Here is a 19,056-nt window from a genome sequence, read left to right as displayed (position 1 = left end):
TGTGGTTGGCAGGAGGAGCCGCTAGAGATTCTTAACCAACAGAGCGACAGGACGGGACTTTAGGAGTAGTGTGCAATACTGGGCCATAATAACAAGACACAAGAGAGAGACGCAGAGGCTACTAAAATTACCCAAGCCCGAGAAGATGGATATGGAGGACTATTAATAGAAGAACCAGCATCCATGACCCTCCATTGTCTGCTGTCACCAATTCTCACTCACACATTCAAACTCTGGTCTTCTTGTTTACTTAATTGTTCCACTTAGGCTGTGCCCCTTCTTCCTCTGTGCCTCTGCCAGGAATGGCCTTACATCACATCGGTCTATTCATATTCTATACATCTTTTAAGTCCAGCTCACGTCACCCTCTCTACAAAGCTTTCCCTGATTGTTTATTTTAATCCACAGTAATCTATCCTCTGCTGAATTTGTAGAACTTCGTTAAGGCAGATCTCTTTTATTGACACTCATATGTCCTTAAAAATACCTATAGTTCATTTTCGTTTTGACAGTCCACTCATTTGTCCCTTTCCCAGCAGGTTTCGGAAAATGATCAGTTCTAGTAGAACTTTCATTGATTCACGATACAAAGAGCCATCTCGTGGCAGAAAGGAAAAATGCATGCTTTGTAAGCAGCAAACTACTTGGCCTTAACAACTACATCTGACTTTTATTTTTATCTTTTTGTTTTTACAGTTCTTCTTTCTGATACAATTTCTGGAACAAAAAATACATTGTAATAAAAAATCAGGGATAATTTGTGAAAATGGCATTGTCTTCGTTTCTAATTATTCTACCCATCTACATTCTAGTAAGTTCCTCAATGGCTATGCAAATAACATTTACTGAGATTCTGTTACTATGTTCACAGTGCTGGGACCTGGCATGGTGAGTTTAAGTTTTATAAGAGTCAACTTATCTAGGAAGACAGCATTCTCAAAGTTATCTGTGGAAAACTCGTCTCTAAAGATGGTCTGAGAAAAAAAAAAGAGTTCCTTAGGCCAGGCATGGTGGTTCATGCCAGTAATCTCAGCACTCTGGAAGCCAAGGTGGGTGGATCGCTTGAGCCCAGGAGTCCCAGACCAGCCTGGGCAACAGATAAATCTCATCTCTACCAAAAAACAAAACAAAACAACGAAACAAAAAGTAGCCATGGCGGCACGCACCTGCAGTTGAGCTAATTGGGAGGCTGAGGTGGGAGGATTGCATGAGACCACAAGTTCAAGGCCAGCTATGTCTACATAGCGAGATTCCATCTTTACCAAAAATAAATGAATAAGGAAATAAATAAATAAACAAACAGTGTCGTGGCATACACCTGTAGTTTCAGCTACACAGGAGGTTGAAGTGAGAGGATCACTTGAACCCAGGAATTTGAGGCTGCAGTGAGCCATGATTGGGCAACTGCACTCCAGCCTGGATGATAGGTGAGACCCTGTCTCCAAAACAACAACCACAATAACAAAACCCTGGAAAAGCTTTGGCCAAATTGATTTGCAAAACCTTGAATACTGTGACTTTAGTATGATATTCTCATTGCACATAGTAAATCAGATGGTCTGAGAAGTCCTGAAATGAGGGACCTAGTTTAATTTAACCCAATATCTGCCAAGCTTACCTGACCACAAAACTCTTTAACACCTATTAATATTCTGTATAACTACTGCTCCAAGTGCTGCACACACTCAGAAAAGCACCTTGAGGTATTTTAACTCAGGGTTCTTTGGATAGAGCTGAGATTCCATCAAAAGATGATGTAAAATGGGCCAAGCCCACATTCCAGTTTCTTTAAGTCCTTTGCTGAACCAAGTTGGGTATTAAGAGAATAAAACCCAAATCCTATCAATAATAGAAGTATAAGTGTAATTGTCAGGCATGATTCTAAGCATGTTACATATTTAATCCTCGTAATAATGGCATCTACCTGATACTTAGCTATACCCCATTACTCCATTCTACAGACAAGGGAACTGAAGCATAAAGAGAATAAGTAACTTGTCCAAGATCACAGATTAGCAAAGGGAAGAGCAGACATTTGAAAGAAAATAGTCTGGGCTGGGCGCGGTGGCTCACGCCTGTAATCCCAGCACTTTGGGAGGCCGAGGCGGGTGGATCACGAGGGCAGGAGATCGAGACCACGGTGAAACCCCGTCTCTACTAAAAATACAAAACAATTAGCCGGGCTTGGTGGCGGGTGCCTGTAGTCCCAGCTACTCGGGAGGCTGAGGCAGGAGAATGGCCTGAACCCAGGAGGCGGAGCTTGCAGTGAGCCGAGATCGCGCCATTGCACTCCAGGCTGGGCGAGAGAGTGAGACTCCGTCTCAAAAAAAAAAAAAAAAAAAAAAAAGAGTCTGGCTTCTAAGTTTATACGCATATCCTGGAAGCCGTCCCTATGACAACAAGCCCCACAGCCCTGTCATAGATTGAACACTTAGCACTTTCTCATATGCTACCCTTGGGGTTACTTTACTTAAGTGCCTGGTGAATAGAGCAGAGCAGCCCACTACCCACATGCAGACTGTCTGGCTTGTCAATTTCAGGAATGCTCTTATAGCCCAGATGGAGAAACAGAGGCACAGAAAGACCAAAGTCAGCCCTGCCCTGCTCCGGGGCTCAATTCCACCCCACTGCTATGTGGAGATACAGAGTTTGAGCCTAAGCTGAGAAGTGACTGATGGCCTGCCTGTCTGCTAACCATGGGACGGGGGCACTCATTTCCTTCTAGGGGGCAATAGGTTTATTGAAAGCAGTGGTTGCTGGCATGGGTAAGAGAAACAATGGGAACTCTCAGTTCGTTGTCAACTGCCTCCTGCCCTCCTCACCTTTTTCCTTTGTACCTCTCCAGGACGAGGGTCACTGGAGTCTCAAAACCGACTTTTAGTTCCAGTAGCTCCCTTATTTAATGGAGGAAAAGATGCTTATCAGACTTTTTGGGAAAATATCAAAAATTGATTGGTTTTTCTTGCTCTAACTCCAGATTTCTCCATCTTGGCACTGTTGACATTCAAAGTCAGATAATTATTTGTTATGGGGGCTGTCCTGTGCGTCAGATGGCATTTGGCAGTATCCTTGGCCTATACCCACTAGATGCCAGTGTGACAGCCAAAAAGACCTCTAAGCAGTGCCAAATATCTCCCAAGGAACAAAATCATCCTAATTGAGAACCACTGCTCTAACTCAAAAGTTTTAAAGCCCTAATCTCAGTGACTGGGAGGTTGAGGCAGGAGGATCACTTGAAGCTAGTAGTTCAAGACCAGCCTGAGCAACAGCAAGATCCTGTCTCTAAAAACAATTTAAATATTAGCTGGACATGGTGGCATGTGCCTGTAGTCCCAGCTACTCAGGAGGCTGAGGTGAGAGGATCCCTTGAGCCCAGGAGTTAGAGGTTGCAGTGAACTATGATCATGCAGCCCTGGCAACAGAGTGAGACCCCCATCTGTTACAAAAAAAAAAAAGTTTGTAAGCTCTTAGTCTGAAACCTACATGTTTTCTTCCTGGCTGAAATTTGAAAAGAAAAGCGAATATAAAGTAGATAGTGCCCTTCAAACACTTTGTGGAGCAGCTCTCTTACTCTTATATCATCCAGCACAGTAGCAGCAGCCCTTACTGTAATTGCTTGTGTGTTTTTAATGAGGTAGGTGGCCAAACCCAAAAGTTTTTAAATTTCCTCACCCTGCCAGTTATAGAATGGGCATTGCGAGGAAGAAGAGAGTTGGGTTTAGGTTGTCCAAGTAAATGCAATACGTTTATTTTGAGGAAAGAAAAACTGATTAAGAAAGTTATCTTGTGCACATAGCCAGCAGTGAGACTATAGAAAAACCTCATTTCTGTGCTATCTTCAAATGTGTAGAGGAAAGGAAAAGTACTTTATGTACTGGATAGGTCTGTTGAAAAGTTTTCAACATCTAATGTGAAAAATATCTAGGTAAATGAGGCAATAAAAGCATAAGTCTGAAGCCAGGTGCAGTGGCTCACACCTGTAATGCCAGAACTTTGGGAGGCTGAGGTGGGCTGATCATTTGAGCTCAGGAATTTGAGACCAGCATGGAAAACATGGTGAGACCCTGTCTGTACAAAAAATACAAAAATTAGCCAGGCATGATGGTACACACCAGCAGTCTCAGCTACTGGGGAGGCTGGGAGCAGGGGGATGTGGTTAGAGGTCGCAGTGAGCCATGATTACACTCCAGCCTTGACAAGAGAATGAGACACTGTCTCAAAAGAAAAAAAAAGTGTATGTCTGGGTTGTTGGGGCAGGAGGAGGAATCGGTGGTGCACAGGGGATTTTTAGGGCAGCGAAATGATTTTGTATGGTACCATATTGGCAAATACATGGCCATTACGCATTTGTCAAAACTCACAGCACAATATAACACAAAGAGTATACCCTAATGTAAACTATGGACTTCAGTTAATAATGTATTGGCTCATCAACGGTAGTAATAAACCACATCAATACAGATGTCACTGGGAGAGGAAACTGGAAAAGGGAAGGGGCATACAGAACTCTGTACTTTCTGCTCGATTTTTCTGTAAATATAGAATTGCTCTAAACAAGAAAGTCTATTGTATTTAAAAGTACGCATCTGGAAAAGTAGAGAGCAGAGAAAGAGGAATCATCTCTATAAATGTTTGTACTGTAACATACCCTTCTTGTGTTAAATAATGCGAAATCAAAATGAGAAGATTTTTTCGTCGTGCTTCTGTCCTCATCTCGCACTGGAACAGAGGAAAATTTAGGTAGGATGACAACAAAAAATAACACTGCTCCTACGGCAATAAACCCTGGAAGGTAAATGTAACCTGTCAAAGCCAAGCAGCATGACTTAAAGGCTGGAAAGCAATTTGAAGTCTCTAAGGACATATAAAGTTGTTTTCCATTGTTATTTTCTTCTCACAGCTGCCTTCTCAATTGTAAACTTAAGGGACAATGATTTTAATTAGGATTGCTCTTTACCACTTGGACTTCTTCCTGCCGAGCCAATCGGCCTTTTATTGCTTATAATCGTGAAGAAACAAATGTACATCTACTACTATTGGGACCAGGTTAAGGAAACTGATTAGAAAAAGATAATCAGCTGTGAGCCAGAAATCATCTGTGACAACACAGGCACTTACCTGCTACCATATCTGTAGTTCACTCAGAGCCCCGCCCAGTCCTTGCCAAATGCAGAGATGAGTTCCCACAAACCATTCAGGGGTGACTGCACAGGCAAGGATTTAGAATAGCCACTGAGAATAGCAGAGGCCATAAAAGGACAACTCCTGTATGATAAGGTCTTTGCTCAAACTGGATGAATCCGTGCACTTATTCACAGTGTTAATGTGCTACATTTAGGAAACTGGTATCTCAAATTGCCCCAAAATGTATTCACAAAATAGTCATGTTCAGTAATACTTCCCTTATTTGAAAATAACTTATCTATCTTTATCTAAGTAGAATACAGGTAAGAACTAGACAAAAGCCATAAAAGGTCTTTGTGTGGCCTAAATTACATCACAAAATCTATGCACAAACACTTATATTCATGATACATAGAAACACTTTTCAATGGCTGGGTGCGGTGGCTCATACCTGTAATCCCAGCAATCTGGGAGACCAAGGCGGATGGATCACTTGAGGTCAGGAGTTTGAGACCAGCCTGGCCAACATGGGAAAACCCCATCTCTACAAAAACTACAAAAATTAGCCAGTGGTGGCAGGCACCTGTAATCCCAGCTACTCGAGAGGCTGAGGCATGAGAACCACTTGAACCTGGAAGGCAGAGGTTGCAGTGAGCCAAGATCTTGCCACTGCACTCCAAGCTGGGTGACAGAGTAAGACTCTGTCTCAAAAAAAAAAAAAAGAAAAGAAAAGAAAAGAAAAACAAACAAACCAAAAACCAAAAAACATTTTTCAGGCATTCATGCAGAGTTTTCTAAAAATTAATGTTATAATGAAATTAAAATATGCATATAAATATTTGAAAATCAAATAATACTAAATTTTTTTCTAAGTTGCTTTTTTATTGTGGTAAAATATATGTAATATAAAATTTACCATTTTAACCATTTTTTTTCTTTTTTAATTTTTTTTTGAGACAGGGTCTCACCCTGTGGCCCAGGCTGGAGTACAGTGGTATGGTCAGGGCTCATGGCAGCCCTGCCCTCCCTAGGCTCAGGTGATCCTTCTGCTTCAGTCTCCTCAGTAGCTGGGACTACAGGTGCACACTACCACCTAGATAAAACTAATCTGGCTGATTTCTATATTTTTTGTAGAGATGAGAGTCTCACAATGTTGGCTAAGTTGTTCTCAAATTCCTGGCCTCAAGCAATCTTCTTACTTTGTCCTTTCAAAGTGCTGGGATTACAGGCGTGAGCCACCACACCGGACCCATTTTAAACTGTTTTTGTTTTTGTTTTTGTTTTTTTTTTGAGAAGGAATCTTGCTCTTGTTGCCCAGGTTGGAATGCAGTGGCATGATCTCCGATCACTGCAAACTCTGCCTCCCGGGTTCAAGCAATTCTCCTGCCTCAGCCTCCTGAGTAGCTGGGATTACAGAAGCCCGCTACCACACCCGGCTAATTTCTGTACTTTATTAGTAGAAACAGGGTTTTGCCATGTTCGCCAGGCTGGTCTCGAACTCCTGACTTCAGATGATCCGCCTGCTTCGGCCTCCCAAAGTGCTGGGATTACAGGCGTGAGCCACCGCACCTGGCCATCATTTTAACCATTTTTAAGTGTACAGTTCAGTGTCATTAAATACATTCACATTGTTGTACAACCATCACCACCATCCATCTCCAGAAAATTTTCATCTTCCCGAATTGAAACTTCGTTTCCATTAAAGAGTAACTCCACATCTCCCCTGCCCCCAGCCCCTGGCAACCACCTCTCTACTTTTTTGTCTGTGGCCCAGGATAGCTTTGAATGTGGCCCAACACAAATTTGTAAATTTTCTTAAAACATGAGATTTTTTTTTGCTTTTTTTTTCTCATCAGCTATCATTAGTGTTAGTGTATTTTATGTGTGGCCCAAGGGAATTCTTCTTCCACTGTGGCCCAGGGAACACAAAAGTTTGGACACCCTTGCCCTAGAGGAAACAACCTTAATTATTTTAGCTGTTTCTTCTGATATGTACTTCCATGTTTCTAAATAATATATCATTGTTTCATGATATGTGTGTTAGGCATTAACTATTCACTTCCTTTAAGACAGATGAGAACTAAGCTGTCTTATACCCTTTTCAAACTATCCTTCCCTACAGTTGGATCAATATTTGCTGATTACATTATTAGGACCATATAAAAGTTGTTCACTGTGGAGCCAAAAATACCATGGTTACTTTTCCATTTCTGTACATTTTTTTTTTTTTTGAAATGAATAACCACCCCATTTTTATTAGGTTACTTTTCAACATACGTATTGTTAATAATCAAAACACTAACACATCTCATATCACTTCCCATGCCATCAAATACATAAGATTTTGTGTCCTTTCTACTCACTCACCTCTTGCTTCCCTCTTGGAGCCTCTATCCTCCCGTTCTACTCTAGAGACTGACTCTAAGACCTGCAATAGATGCTTTTTCTGGGATTTCCCTTTGACATTTTCTTGCATTGGATCCCCTAGAAACTGAATCTTTCTCTTCTGGTCCCTCTCTTGTTTTAATAGCACACTTTCCGCCATGCTTCCAGTACAGCCTGTGGAATCATGAGTCAATTAAACCTCTTTTCTTCGTAAATTACCAAAGCAACAACATCAACAAAAAATAGCACACATTCTCTTGAGTAAAGGTGTATGGGAGATAAATGTTGAGAATTCGTATGCCTGAAAGTGTCTTTATTCTACTTTAAGCTTGATAGCTTGAAAAGGTATAACATTACCATTCCTATTCCTGATCCTTTGCATGTAATGTAATTTTTCTTCCCAGGAAGCTTTTAGGATCTCTTTTTTTTTTTTTTTTTTTGAAACGGAGTCTCGCTCTGTCGCCGGGGCTGGAGTGTAGTGGCGCAATCTCTGCTCACTGCAAGCTCCGCCTCCCGCGTTCACGCCATTCACCTGCCTCAGCCTCCCGAGTAGCTGGGACTACAGACGCCCGCCACCACGCTCGGCTAATTTTTTGTATTTTTAGTAGAGACGGGGTTTCACCGTATTAGCCAGGATGGTCTCGATCTCCTGGCCTCGTGATCCGCCCGCCTTGGCCTCCCAAACTGCTGGGATTACAGGCGTGAGCCACCGCGCCCAGCCTACGATCTCATTTTTAACCCTAGGGTTCTAAAATTACACAATTTCTTTGGTGTAGGTCATTTTCCATTCACTGCCTAGCCATTGTCAAGCTAGAAATTCTCATGTTCTCATTTTTGGAAAACTTCTTTATTATTTCTTTGGTAAATTATTTCACTATTTTTTCTCTGGTTTATTTTTATGAATACCTATTAATTGGATAGGGGATATCCTGAACTGATTTTTAAAGACTTTTTTTCCCACAGTGTTCCATTCCTTTGTCTCTTTTGTTCTATATTCTGAGCAATTTCCTTGGCCTTATTTTTTAGCAGAATTTATTTAGATAATAACATTTTTAATTTCCAGGAGCTTCTTCTTATTCTCTGATTCTTTCTTTTTTCATAGCATCTTATTCTTGTTTTTTAGAGTATTATCTTATGATTTAAAGTCATAATGAAGAGGTTCAGTTATGCTCAATATTTGCAATGTAAGTAGGCAGGTAAAACAGTAACCTATTTTATAAACATATCCATCCAAAAGAATTCAAATAGAAAGTTTTATTGCTTAAGATGATAAGCCTTTATTCAGAGTGCTAGAAAACACAACAAATAAGGCAACCTGTGTTTCAAAATGTTTGTGAAGGGAGCATAGTAAGTACTACTTGTTTGATCGATTTTGCTCTCTGCCATTCAAAAGCTAGTTGTTGCTTTGAATTTAGTCTAAAATAAATAAAAGTCAGGGCTCTCAGAAGTTCAAAAGAAAAAGAGATTTAAAAATATAATCCTCGAACCTATAAAATAGATGACATAAAAAGTAGTGATTCAGAATGAGAGAAATAGTTGCAAAGGACGTATCTGATAAAGGACTGGTATCCAAAATATACAAACACAGACAAACCCTCCTAAATTCAACACTAAAAAAAAAATCCACTTAAAAATGGGCAAAACACATGAACTGACACTTCACAAAAGAAGATATACAGATGGTAACCAAGCATATGAAAAGACAACATCACATCATCAAGGAATGGAAAGTTAAAACAACAGTGAAGTACCACTGCACACTTACTGGGATGGTGAAAATCCAAAATAGCAAATGCTGGCGAGGATGTAGAGCAACAGAAACTCACTGATTGCTGGTGGGATGCAAAACAGTACAAACACTTTGAAAGGCACTTTGGCAGGTTTTTTTAAAGTAAAGACTAACCATACTCTTACTCAGCAATTACTCTGACCCAACAATTGCAACCCTTGGTATTTACCCAAATGAATTGAAAACTTATGTTCACAGAGAAACTGGCACAGGGATGTTTATAGCAGCTTTATTCATAATTGCCAAAACTTAGAAACAACCAAGATGTCGTTCAGTAGGTGAATGGATAAATAAATTGTGGTATACTCAGACAATGGAATATTATTCAGAGCTAAAAGAAATGAGCTATCAAGCCATGAAAGAACATGAAGGAAATTTAGATGCATATCACTAAGTGGAAGAAGCCAATTGAAAAGCCTATATACTGTATGATTCCAAATAGATAACATTCTGGAAAAGGCAAAACTATAGAGACAGTAAAAGGATAAGTGATTGCCAGGGGTTGCGGGGAGGAAGGGATGAATAGGTAGAGTACAAGATTTCTAGGGCAGCGAAACCATTCTATATGATAGATTATAGTAACCGATAGGCATCATTATACATTTGTCCAAAACCACAGAATGTACAACAGCAAGCATGAACCCTCATGTAAAATGGACTTTGGTTGATAATCATGCCAGTGTAGGTTCATCGATTTAACAACATACCACTGTATTTTGGGATGTTGACAGTGGGGGAAGGTGAGCATGCAGAGAGGTACGTGGGAATTCTCTATACTTTGTTCAATTTGGCTGTGAATCTAAAACTGCGCTAAAAAATAAATTCTATTTTTTAAAAAGCAGTGACTAATTTGTCAGGCCTACTGCTTTTAAATGGATGTTTATGGTTTCAAATTAGTTCCTTGGCAGATCATGTTCTTATTCCATTGCTCAAAAAACTTCTGAAACTCTTATTATAAAATTGTATTCAATATAGATTAATGACCACAGTCTTCCCCCAAGCTGCATTTACAAAAATAATCGTGGTAGAAAACTGGTACAATGCATAAAACCATGAGAAAAAAACACATTTTGGTCACATTCTTTTTTAAAATTTAATTTTATTTGTTTAGAGACAGGGATCTCACCATGTTACCAGGCTGGCCTTGAACACCCGGGCTGAAGTGATCCTCCCACCTCAGCCTCCCAAGTAGCTGGGACTACAAGTGTGCACCATTCCACCCAGCCTATACTTTTTAAGTCTTCTTACAAAGTAGTACTCTCATGTAAGCTGATAACTTATTTTTAGAAATAATATTTTATAAATATTTTTCCAAGGCATTAAATGTTTTTATACTTGATTTTTAACATATGCAGAGAATGCATATGTTATTTGCTGAAAAGCCCAAATAGTTGAAAGCAGAATCTTGGCTTCTAGGCCAATGCTCTTCCTTTCATCAACTCCTCCTCATCATTCTCTCACCAATTTATATTCACTCCAGACCAGAGATAATCTTCTACTTTATATCATTTCATAAAATCCATACCCTGCACAACCACTATTTTAATTTACCAAAACCTGTGGGCCAAACTTGCCAGAAACAAACAACTGTGGTTACCAGCCGGTCTTTCCTAGTTGACCTAACAGAGTAATAAATGAATGATGTCTTTTACAATTTCTCAAACCTAATTTCCCACAATATTAGTGACCATTCCAAAGCTGTTACTGGCTAGACCTCCTTCAAAAGGTTAGTCACCCTGCTGTACCAGGAGTAGTATGTCTTATAAGAGATTATGTCTTTTAATTGCTGAATAGTTGCAGACCTGCTGTAAATAAAGCTAATCCATTTCATATGCATGTAAAAGTCTTTGAGAAAGCAAAGATGGGAATTGGCTTAAAGAGACATGAAAGTGATCTACATTTTTCTAAAGACTATATTGGACACTGACTGGTCCCATTTCTAACAATGTCCATATCCCTCCATATTAGAGGTTCTAACACAGTGTCCTGTACATCACATGAAATAAAGCCTGGAAAGTGCTTTGAAAACTGTGGGGGTGCTATGCCAATATTAGGGATAGTAATTGGTGGGTGCCCAATAGCTGTTAGTTGCTTCGTACATGCATTTCAGAGTCTCTCTATCCTTCACTAGAAGCATTTGCTTCTTCCTAATTGAAACATGTACTTGTGCAAATGTTCTCTAGGACTAGGTCACTGAGAAAAAGTAGCTAGTGTTCTGTGTGCTCCTCAGTACTGGATCCACTGCACTGGGTTTGGCTGAATTTCTTAAAGATGAGGAGGGTCAATTACACTATATTATAGAAATACTCCATGTGTGCACAGACATGCATATACCCAGAGGAAGACCCTCATTAGTGGGATGAAAAACTCATTAGGGAAAACTCATTAGATTTATTAGAGGAACAGAAAAAAAAAGATCCTGGAAGAAACATTTAAAAGCAGGGAGGAGAGGACTGGGGAGGATGGGAGAACTGCAGGAGGCAGTGGGTGGAGGGGATGGCAGGTAAAGGGTACAGAATTTCTCTTTGGGCTAATGAAAAGGTTCTAAAATTGATCAAGGCAATGGAAGTATATCTCTGTGAATATCTTGAAAGCCATGGAATTGTACATTTTAAATGGTGAGTTGTAAGGTATATGAATAAAGATATTTTAAAATGCAAAATGTGGGAGAGGGGCAGAGAAAAGAAGGCTTAAATAAATGTAAATAATTTAAGTAAAATTGTGGCTTGATATATAAAATAAATAGTCTAACTGAAAATATAAATCATTATATGCAATATTTTGAAGCTATTCAAGATGGAAATGATGGGGGTAAAAGAACTGGTTATCACACACAGCACCATGAGGGCCTGCTTTTTCAGCCCCCAGACAGAGCCTGTTTCTGCTTTGGAGTGTAGCAATGACACTTTATTACTACCCAGCCTTGCTCTATCAGTGTGACTACAGGAGTAGACTTACTGAACAGAAGAGTAATACAGGCATTTCTGTGTTCAGAATCTTCACATATTCATTTACAGCAGACATTTCTCTTTGCAGTTTTTCTTGTGGGTTTTATAATAATTTGCAATATATATACAAGTTGAAGAAACCACCTTAACTATTGTCTATACTTCTTCAGTTTTTTGGTACAAAAATAAGCTTCTTTCAATAAGACTCTCAAATTTTTTAAAGTGCAGCTATTTTTTACATTTTTACATCCAGATTTGGTAAGGTATTGAAAGAATATTGTATTTCAGATACAATTGGTGGGAATGTAAGTTGGTACAACCCTTTTGCAGAGCAAATTGACAAAATCTATCAAAGAGAAAAATGCGCATACCTGTCGACCCAGCAATATCACTCAGCAATTTATACTCTAGAGGATCAATTACACTATATTATAGAAATACTCCATGTGTGCACATACATGCACATACACAGAGGCAGAAAAATACAGTTTATTTTCTACTACCCACAGGTAGGATAGTGAGTTTCATAGCAACCCTAATAAAAGCAAGTTGGAACATTTGTCAGAATTATTTCCTTCAAACTCCTTTTTAGAATCCCTGGAGAGTCATTTAAACAGTGAACCACTGACCTAATTAACACAGTTAATCAGGATAAATAAGAAAGCAAAAGCTCTAATTCTTGAGACAGAGGTCTAATTCTTAATCCTAAACAAATCTGAGCAATGTTGATCATACTTTTGAAAGAATAGCCTAAAAGACAGGCTTACTCAGGGTTTTCATTACATTTCTGCAAAATGGCAGGTACTTCAACTCCAATCAAAAGAATTTCCACTTTTTTTTTATTAGAATCACAGTTTGCAAAAGAGTCGATGTCTATAATGGGGATTGGCTGAGTCCTTTAGAACTCTGTCTGGTAATGAGGCTGCATCAAAAATGGCTTTTCATGGTCGGGCACTGTGGCTCACTCCTGTAATCCCAGCAATTTGGGAGGCCAAGGTGGGAGGATCACTTGAGCCCAGGAGTTTGAGAGCAGCCTGGGCAACATAGGGAGACTCCCATCTCTAATAAAAAAAAAAAAATGGCTTTCCTACTATGTGGACTGTGAAGCAGCTTTTACTTGTGGTGACCAGGTCTTAAAATAATAATGTGATTTTTATTTTGTGGTAAGAGTGATAAAAATTCAGAATTCAGTAAGAGTAAAGCAGGAAAAGAGAGTTTTAAAAACACTATTCCAAATGTAGTGTTAAATATTTAAGATGAGCTTCTGTTACTGAAAACACAGAATGCAGTCTTACAAATTTCTTAATTAAAGGTATAAAGTTGGCCAGATCTACATCTTTCTGCCCAGGCCATTCAAATTAACCTAGAAAATTATCTTCTGAATTAAAAAAAACTAAGAATGAGCCATTCCCCGCAAAAAGGATCCATTTAAACTGTAAGAGATGGTGTGCCCCTGAAATGGACACAATTACATGCTCATTAATTTCTGTGTACAAAGAAAGGAGGCCCAGAAGTGAACATCTAATCTAGGTGTCTCATTTGCATGTTTCAATAATCTGGCTGTTTTTGTTTTCTTTCATTTCCTTTGTGGGCTATTGTGCCACAAATATACCTCCATTATCAAATTCAAAATTGAATCCTATGATACCATAGCCTGAGGAAAAGGAAGCATTGAATATCATTCCCAGTTTTAGACCCAGAAGATATTTAGGAAATGTTACTGTATATACACCACATGCAACATTAGTGCTTTTAATTTCCTTTTTACGGGTGCAATGGAGATTAATTTGCATGAGCTCGTTTCAATTTCAGTAATAAGATCCAAATTTTGCATTAAGCTTTCAATCTCAAAAACAAACAGTTAAAAAGCATACATCACTTCTTTCAAATGTCTTTACTATACTTCTGTTTTACAGTCCCTGCATCTAATATTCCCCTAAAAGGTTGAATATATATACCTGTAGGTTCTAATTTGTTTCTTGTTTGTTTCCTGACTATCTCCTGGCTCTGCCAGGAAACTTCCTAACTTTCAAATGCTGTACAACCCAAAAAAATGCTAGAAATATCAAAAGAAGTGTCTACAGATCCAGAAAAGACATTTATTGAATTTAATACAATGTCAGAATTGGTCAACTATGCTCAGAAACATAGGACCAAGTGTTCCCTAATTTGAGAGGGTAAATAAGTAACAACAGAAATAAGAGAAAAAACCATAGATATTTCAAATGATCCTGTTTTAATAATTGTCACTGAAAATTAAAGTCCGATCCAGATACCAAATCTGTTTCAACAATAATAGCTAGAGACAAGAGTAAAAATTTCTTTAAAGTTTTAAAACAGGTGGAAGAAGATCCAGAAATATTTATTCCAAGATTTGTAAGCGGGGATAAAACATGGCTACACTGGATAGTCCTGAAGAAAGAGCACAAAACAAAGGCTACCAAAAGGTGGCAGCACTCCAGTCAAAGACAGAGAGGACCAGTCAAGAGAAGAGGTCATGGCAACAGTTTTGGGGAATGCTCAAAAGATATGACTAAAAGACTTTTTGAAGGGCCAAACCAAGATCAAATATGCTTACTAACAGAGTTTTTGAGAAAACTAGCCAAAGCATGAGCAGAAAAACCATTACCAGAGAGTTCTACCTAATCATGAAAAAGTTCTTGCTGTAGCATTTCACTGAACAAAGGGCAGTTTGGCAAGAGTTTCAAAAGGAGATCATGAGGCGTCCACCTTGCAGTCATGATGTGGAACCTGCTGACTTCTATTTATTTCCTCGTATTAAAAATTCTGCAAACGGCACCCAGTTTTCTTCAGTTAATAATGGAAAAAAGATTTCTTGGAAATAGTTAAATTCCCAGAAACATCAGGGCTTGAGGGACAAGGCGGGGTCAAGACAGTGCTCGAACTACTGTCTCGAAATTGATGGAGCAGATGTTAAGAAATAAAATCTACCGGTTTTATTTTTGTCTTTTAATCCCTGTTTTGACAAATTTGGGAAGTCCCCTCACACAACATCAGTCCTAGGCAAAGAGTTGTTATCCTGTATTGGTTCTTCTTTCTATGATTTTGTCTTGCTGTGTTATTTTCTGTTTTACTCCCAAGAAGATTCAGTCTGTGTTTTTTGGAATTCACAGATGTGGAACCTGCGAACATGGAAGGTCAACGGTAAAACTCAGTGGGGTGTGTCGAGGCTGAAATTAACCTAATCAACCTCTGGGGCACAGCAGTCCACCTGGCGTGGACCGTCCCGATTGTCTGCATTGTGCTGACGGCATGAGTACGTATGGGGGCGGGGCAGCCCAAGAGCTAAGAGGGTCAGGGCTAGAGCCGTGAGTGTCAGCCTGGGATGGGCTACATAAGGCCCAGCTCTGGCACCAGAGCTTCATTCTTTGTTGCACAGCAAACTGCAGAGGTCACTCCAGGCTGTGGCTCCACATCCCGAGGAACAAAAGCGGGCCTGCTCAGCTGTCTGCAAGGACGGCCGTTCCAGACCAAGTGGCCTGCTGCTCCGAGGACCCAGCTCGCTCCAGGCTGTGACTCCACATCCCGAGGTCGCTGCCTGGCGACCGGGCAGCGAGGACCGGCCACCCCAGACTTCCTGTCCCGCAGCCCCAAAGACAGAGCTGCGACCGCCGGGACAGCGACGCCTGCACAGCTCTGGTGAGATGGCGGCAGGGTCCACTACGCTGCACGCAGTGGAGAAGCTGCAGGTGCGTCTGGCCACTAAGACGGAGCCGAAAAAGCTAGAGAAATATTTGCAGAAACTCTCCGCCTTGCCCATGACGGCAGACATCCTGGCGGAGACTGGAATCAGAAAGACGGTGAAGCGCCTGCGGAAGCACCAGCACGTGGGCGACTTTGCCAGAGACTTAGCGGCCCGGTGGAAGAAGCTGGTGCTCGTGGACCGAAACACCCGGCCTGGCCCACAGGACCCTGAGGAGAGCGCTTCCCGACAGCGCTTCGGGGAGGCTCTTCAGGACCAGGAAAAGGCCTGGGGCTTCCCAGAAAACGCGACGGCCCCCAGGAGCCCATCTCACAGCCCTGAGCACAGACGGACAGCACGCAGAACACCTCCGGGGCAACAGAGACCTCACCCGAGGTCTCACAGTCGCGAGCCCAGAGCTGAGAGAAAGTGCCCCAGAATAGCCCCAGCTGATTCCGGCCGCTATCGGGCCTCTCCAACGCGCACAGCTCCCCTCCGGATGCCCGAGGGCCCTGAGCCCGCTGCGCCCGGGAAGCAACCCGGAAGAGGCCACACTCACGCGGCTCAGGGCGGGCCTCTGCTGTGTCCAGGCTGCCAGGGCCAACCCCAGGGGAAAGCCGTTGTGAGCCACAGCAAGGGGCACAAATCGTCTCGCCAGGAAAAACGCCCCTTGTGTGCCCAGGGAGATTGGCACTCCCCTACTTTGATCAGGGAGAAATCATGCGGGGCCTGCTTAAGAGAGGAAACCCCAAGGATGCCCTCCTGGGCAAGTGCCAGGGACAGGCAGCCTTCGGACTTCAAGACAGACAAGGAAGGGGGGCAAGCTGGCAGCGGCCAGCGTGTCCCTGCCTTGGAGGAGGCTCCAGACAGTCACCAGAAGAGGCCTCAGCACAGTCACTCGAACAAGAAGAGGCCCAGTCTAGACGGCCGGGACCCAGGAAATGGGACACACGGCCTGTCGCCCGAGGAGAAAGAGCAGCTTTCCAACGACCGAGAGACTCAAGAGGGGAAGCCACCGACTGCTCATTTGGACAGAACGTCCGTGAGCTCCCTCTCTGAGGTGGAGGAGGTAGATATGGCTGAGGAATTCGAGCAGCCCACTCTGTCATGTGAAAAATACCTCACCTACGATCAGTTGCGGAAGCAAAAGAAAAAGACTGGAAAATCTGCCACCACTGCACTTGGAGATAAACAAAGGAAAGCAAACGAATCCAAGGGCACTCGTGAGTCCTGGGATTCGGCTAAGAAATTGCCTCCTGTCCAGGAAAGCCAGTCAGAGAGGCTGCAGGCGGCCGGCGCTGATTCCGCCGGGCCGAAAACGGTGCCCAGCCATGTCTTCTCAGAGCTCTGGGACCTCTCAGAGGCCTGGATGCAGGCCAACTACGATCCGCTTTCGGATTCTGACTCCATGACCTCCCAGGCAAAGCCAGAAGCACTCTCTTCACCAAAGTTCCGGGAGGAAGCTGCTTTCCCTGGACGCAGAGTGAATGCTAAGATGCCGGTGTACTCGGGCTCCAGGCCTGCCTGCCAGCTCCAGGTGCCGACGCTGCGCCAGCAGTGTGCCCAGGTGCTTAGAAACAATCCGGACGCCCTCAGCGACGTGGGAGAGGTCCCCTACTGGGTTCTTGAACCTGTTCTGGAAGGGTGGAGGCCCGATCAGCTGTATCGCAGAAAGAAAGACAATCACGCACTCGTTAGAGAGACAGACGAATTACGGAGGAATCATTGTTTCCAGGACTTCAAGGAAGAAAAGCCACAGGAAAACAAAACTTGGAGGGAGCAGTACCTGCGGCTTCCGGACGCCCCAGAGCAGCGGCTGAGAGTAATGACAACGAATATCCGATCTGCACGTGGAAACAACCCCAACGGCAGAGAGGCAAAGATGATCTGTTTCAAATCTGTGGCCAAGACGCCTTATGATACTTCAAGGAGGCAAGAGAAGTCTGCAGGAGACGCTGACCCCGAAAATGGGGAGATCAAGCCAGCCTCCAAGCCCGCGGGAAGCAGCCACACTCCCTCCAGCCAGAGCAGCAGCGGCGGTGGCAGAGACAGCAGCAGCAGCATCCTTCGCTGGCTCCCTGAGAAGCGGGCCAACCCCTGCCTGAGCAGCAGCAATGAGCACGCGGCGCCCGCGGCCAAAACCCGGAAACAGGCTGCCAAGAAAGTGGCCCCGCTGATGGCCAAGGCAATTCGAGACTACAAGAGAAGATTCTCCCGACGATAAACTCAGGACTTGCCTTGCAGATAAAATCTGGGGGGATTTTTGCATTGGCAAAGTCAATGCGGGTTGGGGAACGAAACTTCCAATGGACACCAGAACCTTTAACTTGGTGCAAAGTTGAGCCTTTGAATTCTGCAGGTGTCATGTGCTGGCCCTGTGATTTTGCCTCCCACACCCAGCCACTACCTCCCAGCTTGGAGAACACCTCAGAATTCAGAAGATATGAACGCATTGGGAACAATTCTATTTTGGATGTTCACTGATAATTTTTAAAAACACCCTAGTTGTAATCATAAATAAGGAAAAAGATGTGAGATTTCCTTTTTCCTTTCTTTTTTTTTTCGAAATCAAGTAGATAAGAACTTCTTAGACAAAAACACACAAGCCATTAGTTGACACTGATAACTCCGAATACATAAAATGTTTGCTGTTGCTGCCGTTGTTGTTGTTTTAATAAAAGGCTGAGCATGATCTTGTAATCGTGAGCCATCCTCCTTTGGGAGGTGGAGGAAAGCAGTTCGCTTGAGCCTAGTAGGTGAAGAACAGCCTGGGCAAAATAGGAAAACCCCGTCTCTGCAAAAGATATCAAAACTAGCCTGGCATGGTGGCACGGTCCATGTGGTCCCAGCTTCTTAAAGGGCTGAGGTGGCAGGATTGCCTGAGCTGGGCAAGTAGAGGTTGCAGTGACCCTTCATCATTCCACTGCACTTCAGGCTGGGTGACAGAACCTGAGCATGGCTCAAAGAAAACTGCTATTTCTTAGAAAAAAGGAACTATCGGATTTCATAAGTGAATGGTAATCACTGGTACATGCGTTAAGCCAAAATAGTTTCCCTAAGTAACACATAGAATCATTCCCAAACTTTTCACCCAGAACCCCTATGAA

General features: G+C 42.3%; 2 protein-coding genes across 24 annotated transcripts in view; one reads left to right on the top strand and one right to left on the bottom strand.

Moving 5' to 3' along the window:
• Window positions 1-19,056, bottom strand: part of KATNAL2 (katanin catalytic subunit A1 like 2) — a 184,650-nt gene that overhangs the window by 51,068 nt on the left and 114,526 nt on the right. For 16 of the 23 annotated variants that reach the window (NR_148563.1, NM_001353899.1, NM_001353900.1 and 13 more), the window contains one exon: window positions 4,649-4,719. The exons of the other annotated variants lie outside the window; for them this stretch is intronic. Coding sequence is in view for 14 of the 16 variants with exons in the window: in NM_001353899.1 (NP_001340828.1) it covers window positions 4,649-4,719 (71 nt within the window). In the remaining 2 variants the exon portion in view is untranslated. The remainder of the gene's footprint in view (window positions 1-4,648; window positions 4,720-19,056) is intronic. 23 annotated transcript variants of the gene reach the window in all.
• Window positions 15,555-18,649, top strand: ELOA2 (elongin A2). The gene has a single exon (NM_016427.3). It carries the CDS (start codon window positions 15,912-15,914, stop codon window positions 18,171-18,173), a length of 2,262 nt encoding a protein of 753 aa, NP_057511.2. The 5' UTR covers window positions 15,555-15,911; the 3' UTR covers window positions 18,174-18,649.

The sequence above is a fragment of the Homo sapiens genome, chromosome 18 (assembly GCF_000001405.40).
Source record: "Homo sapiens chromosome 18, GRCh38.p14 Primary Assembly".
In the NCBI taxonomy this organism is placed as follows: domain Eukaryota; kingdom Metazoa; phylum Chordata; class Mammalia; order Primates; family Hominidae; genus Homo; species Homo sapiens.
Note: the sequence above shows the minus strand (reverse complement) of the source record. Positions and strands in the feature narration are given on the sequence as shown.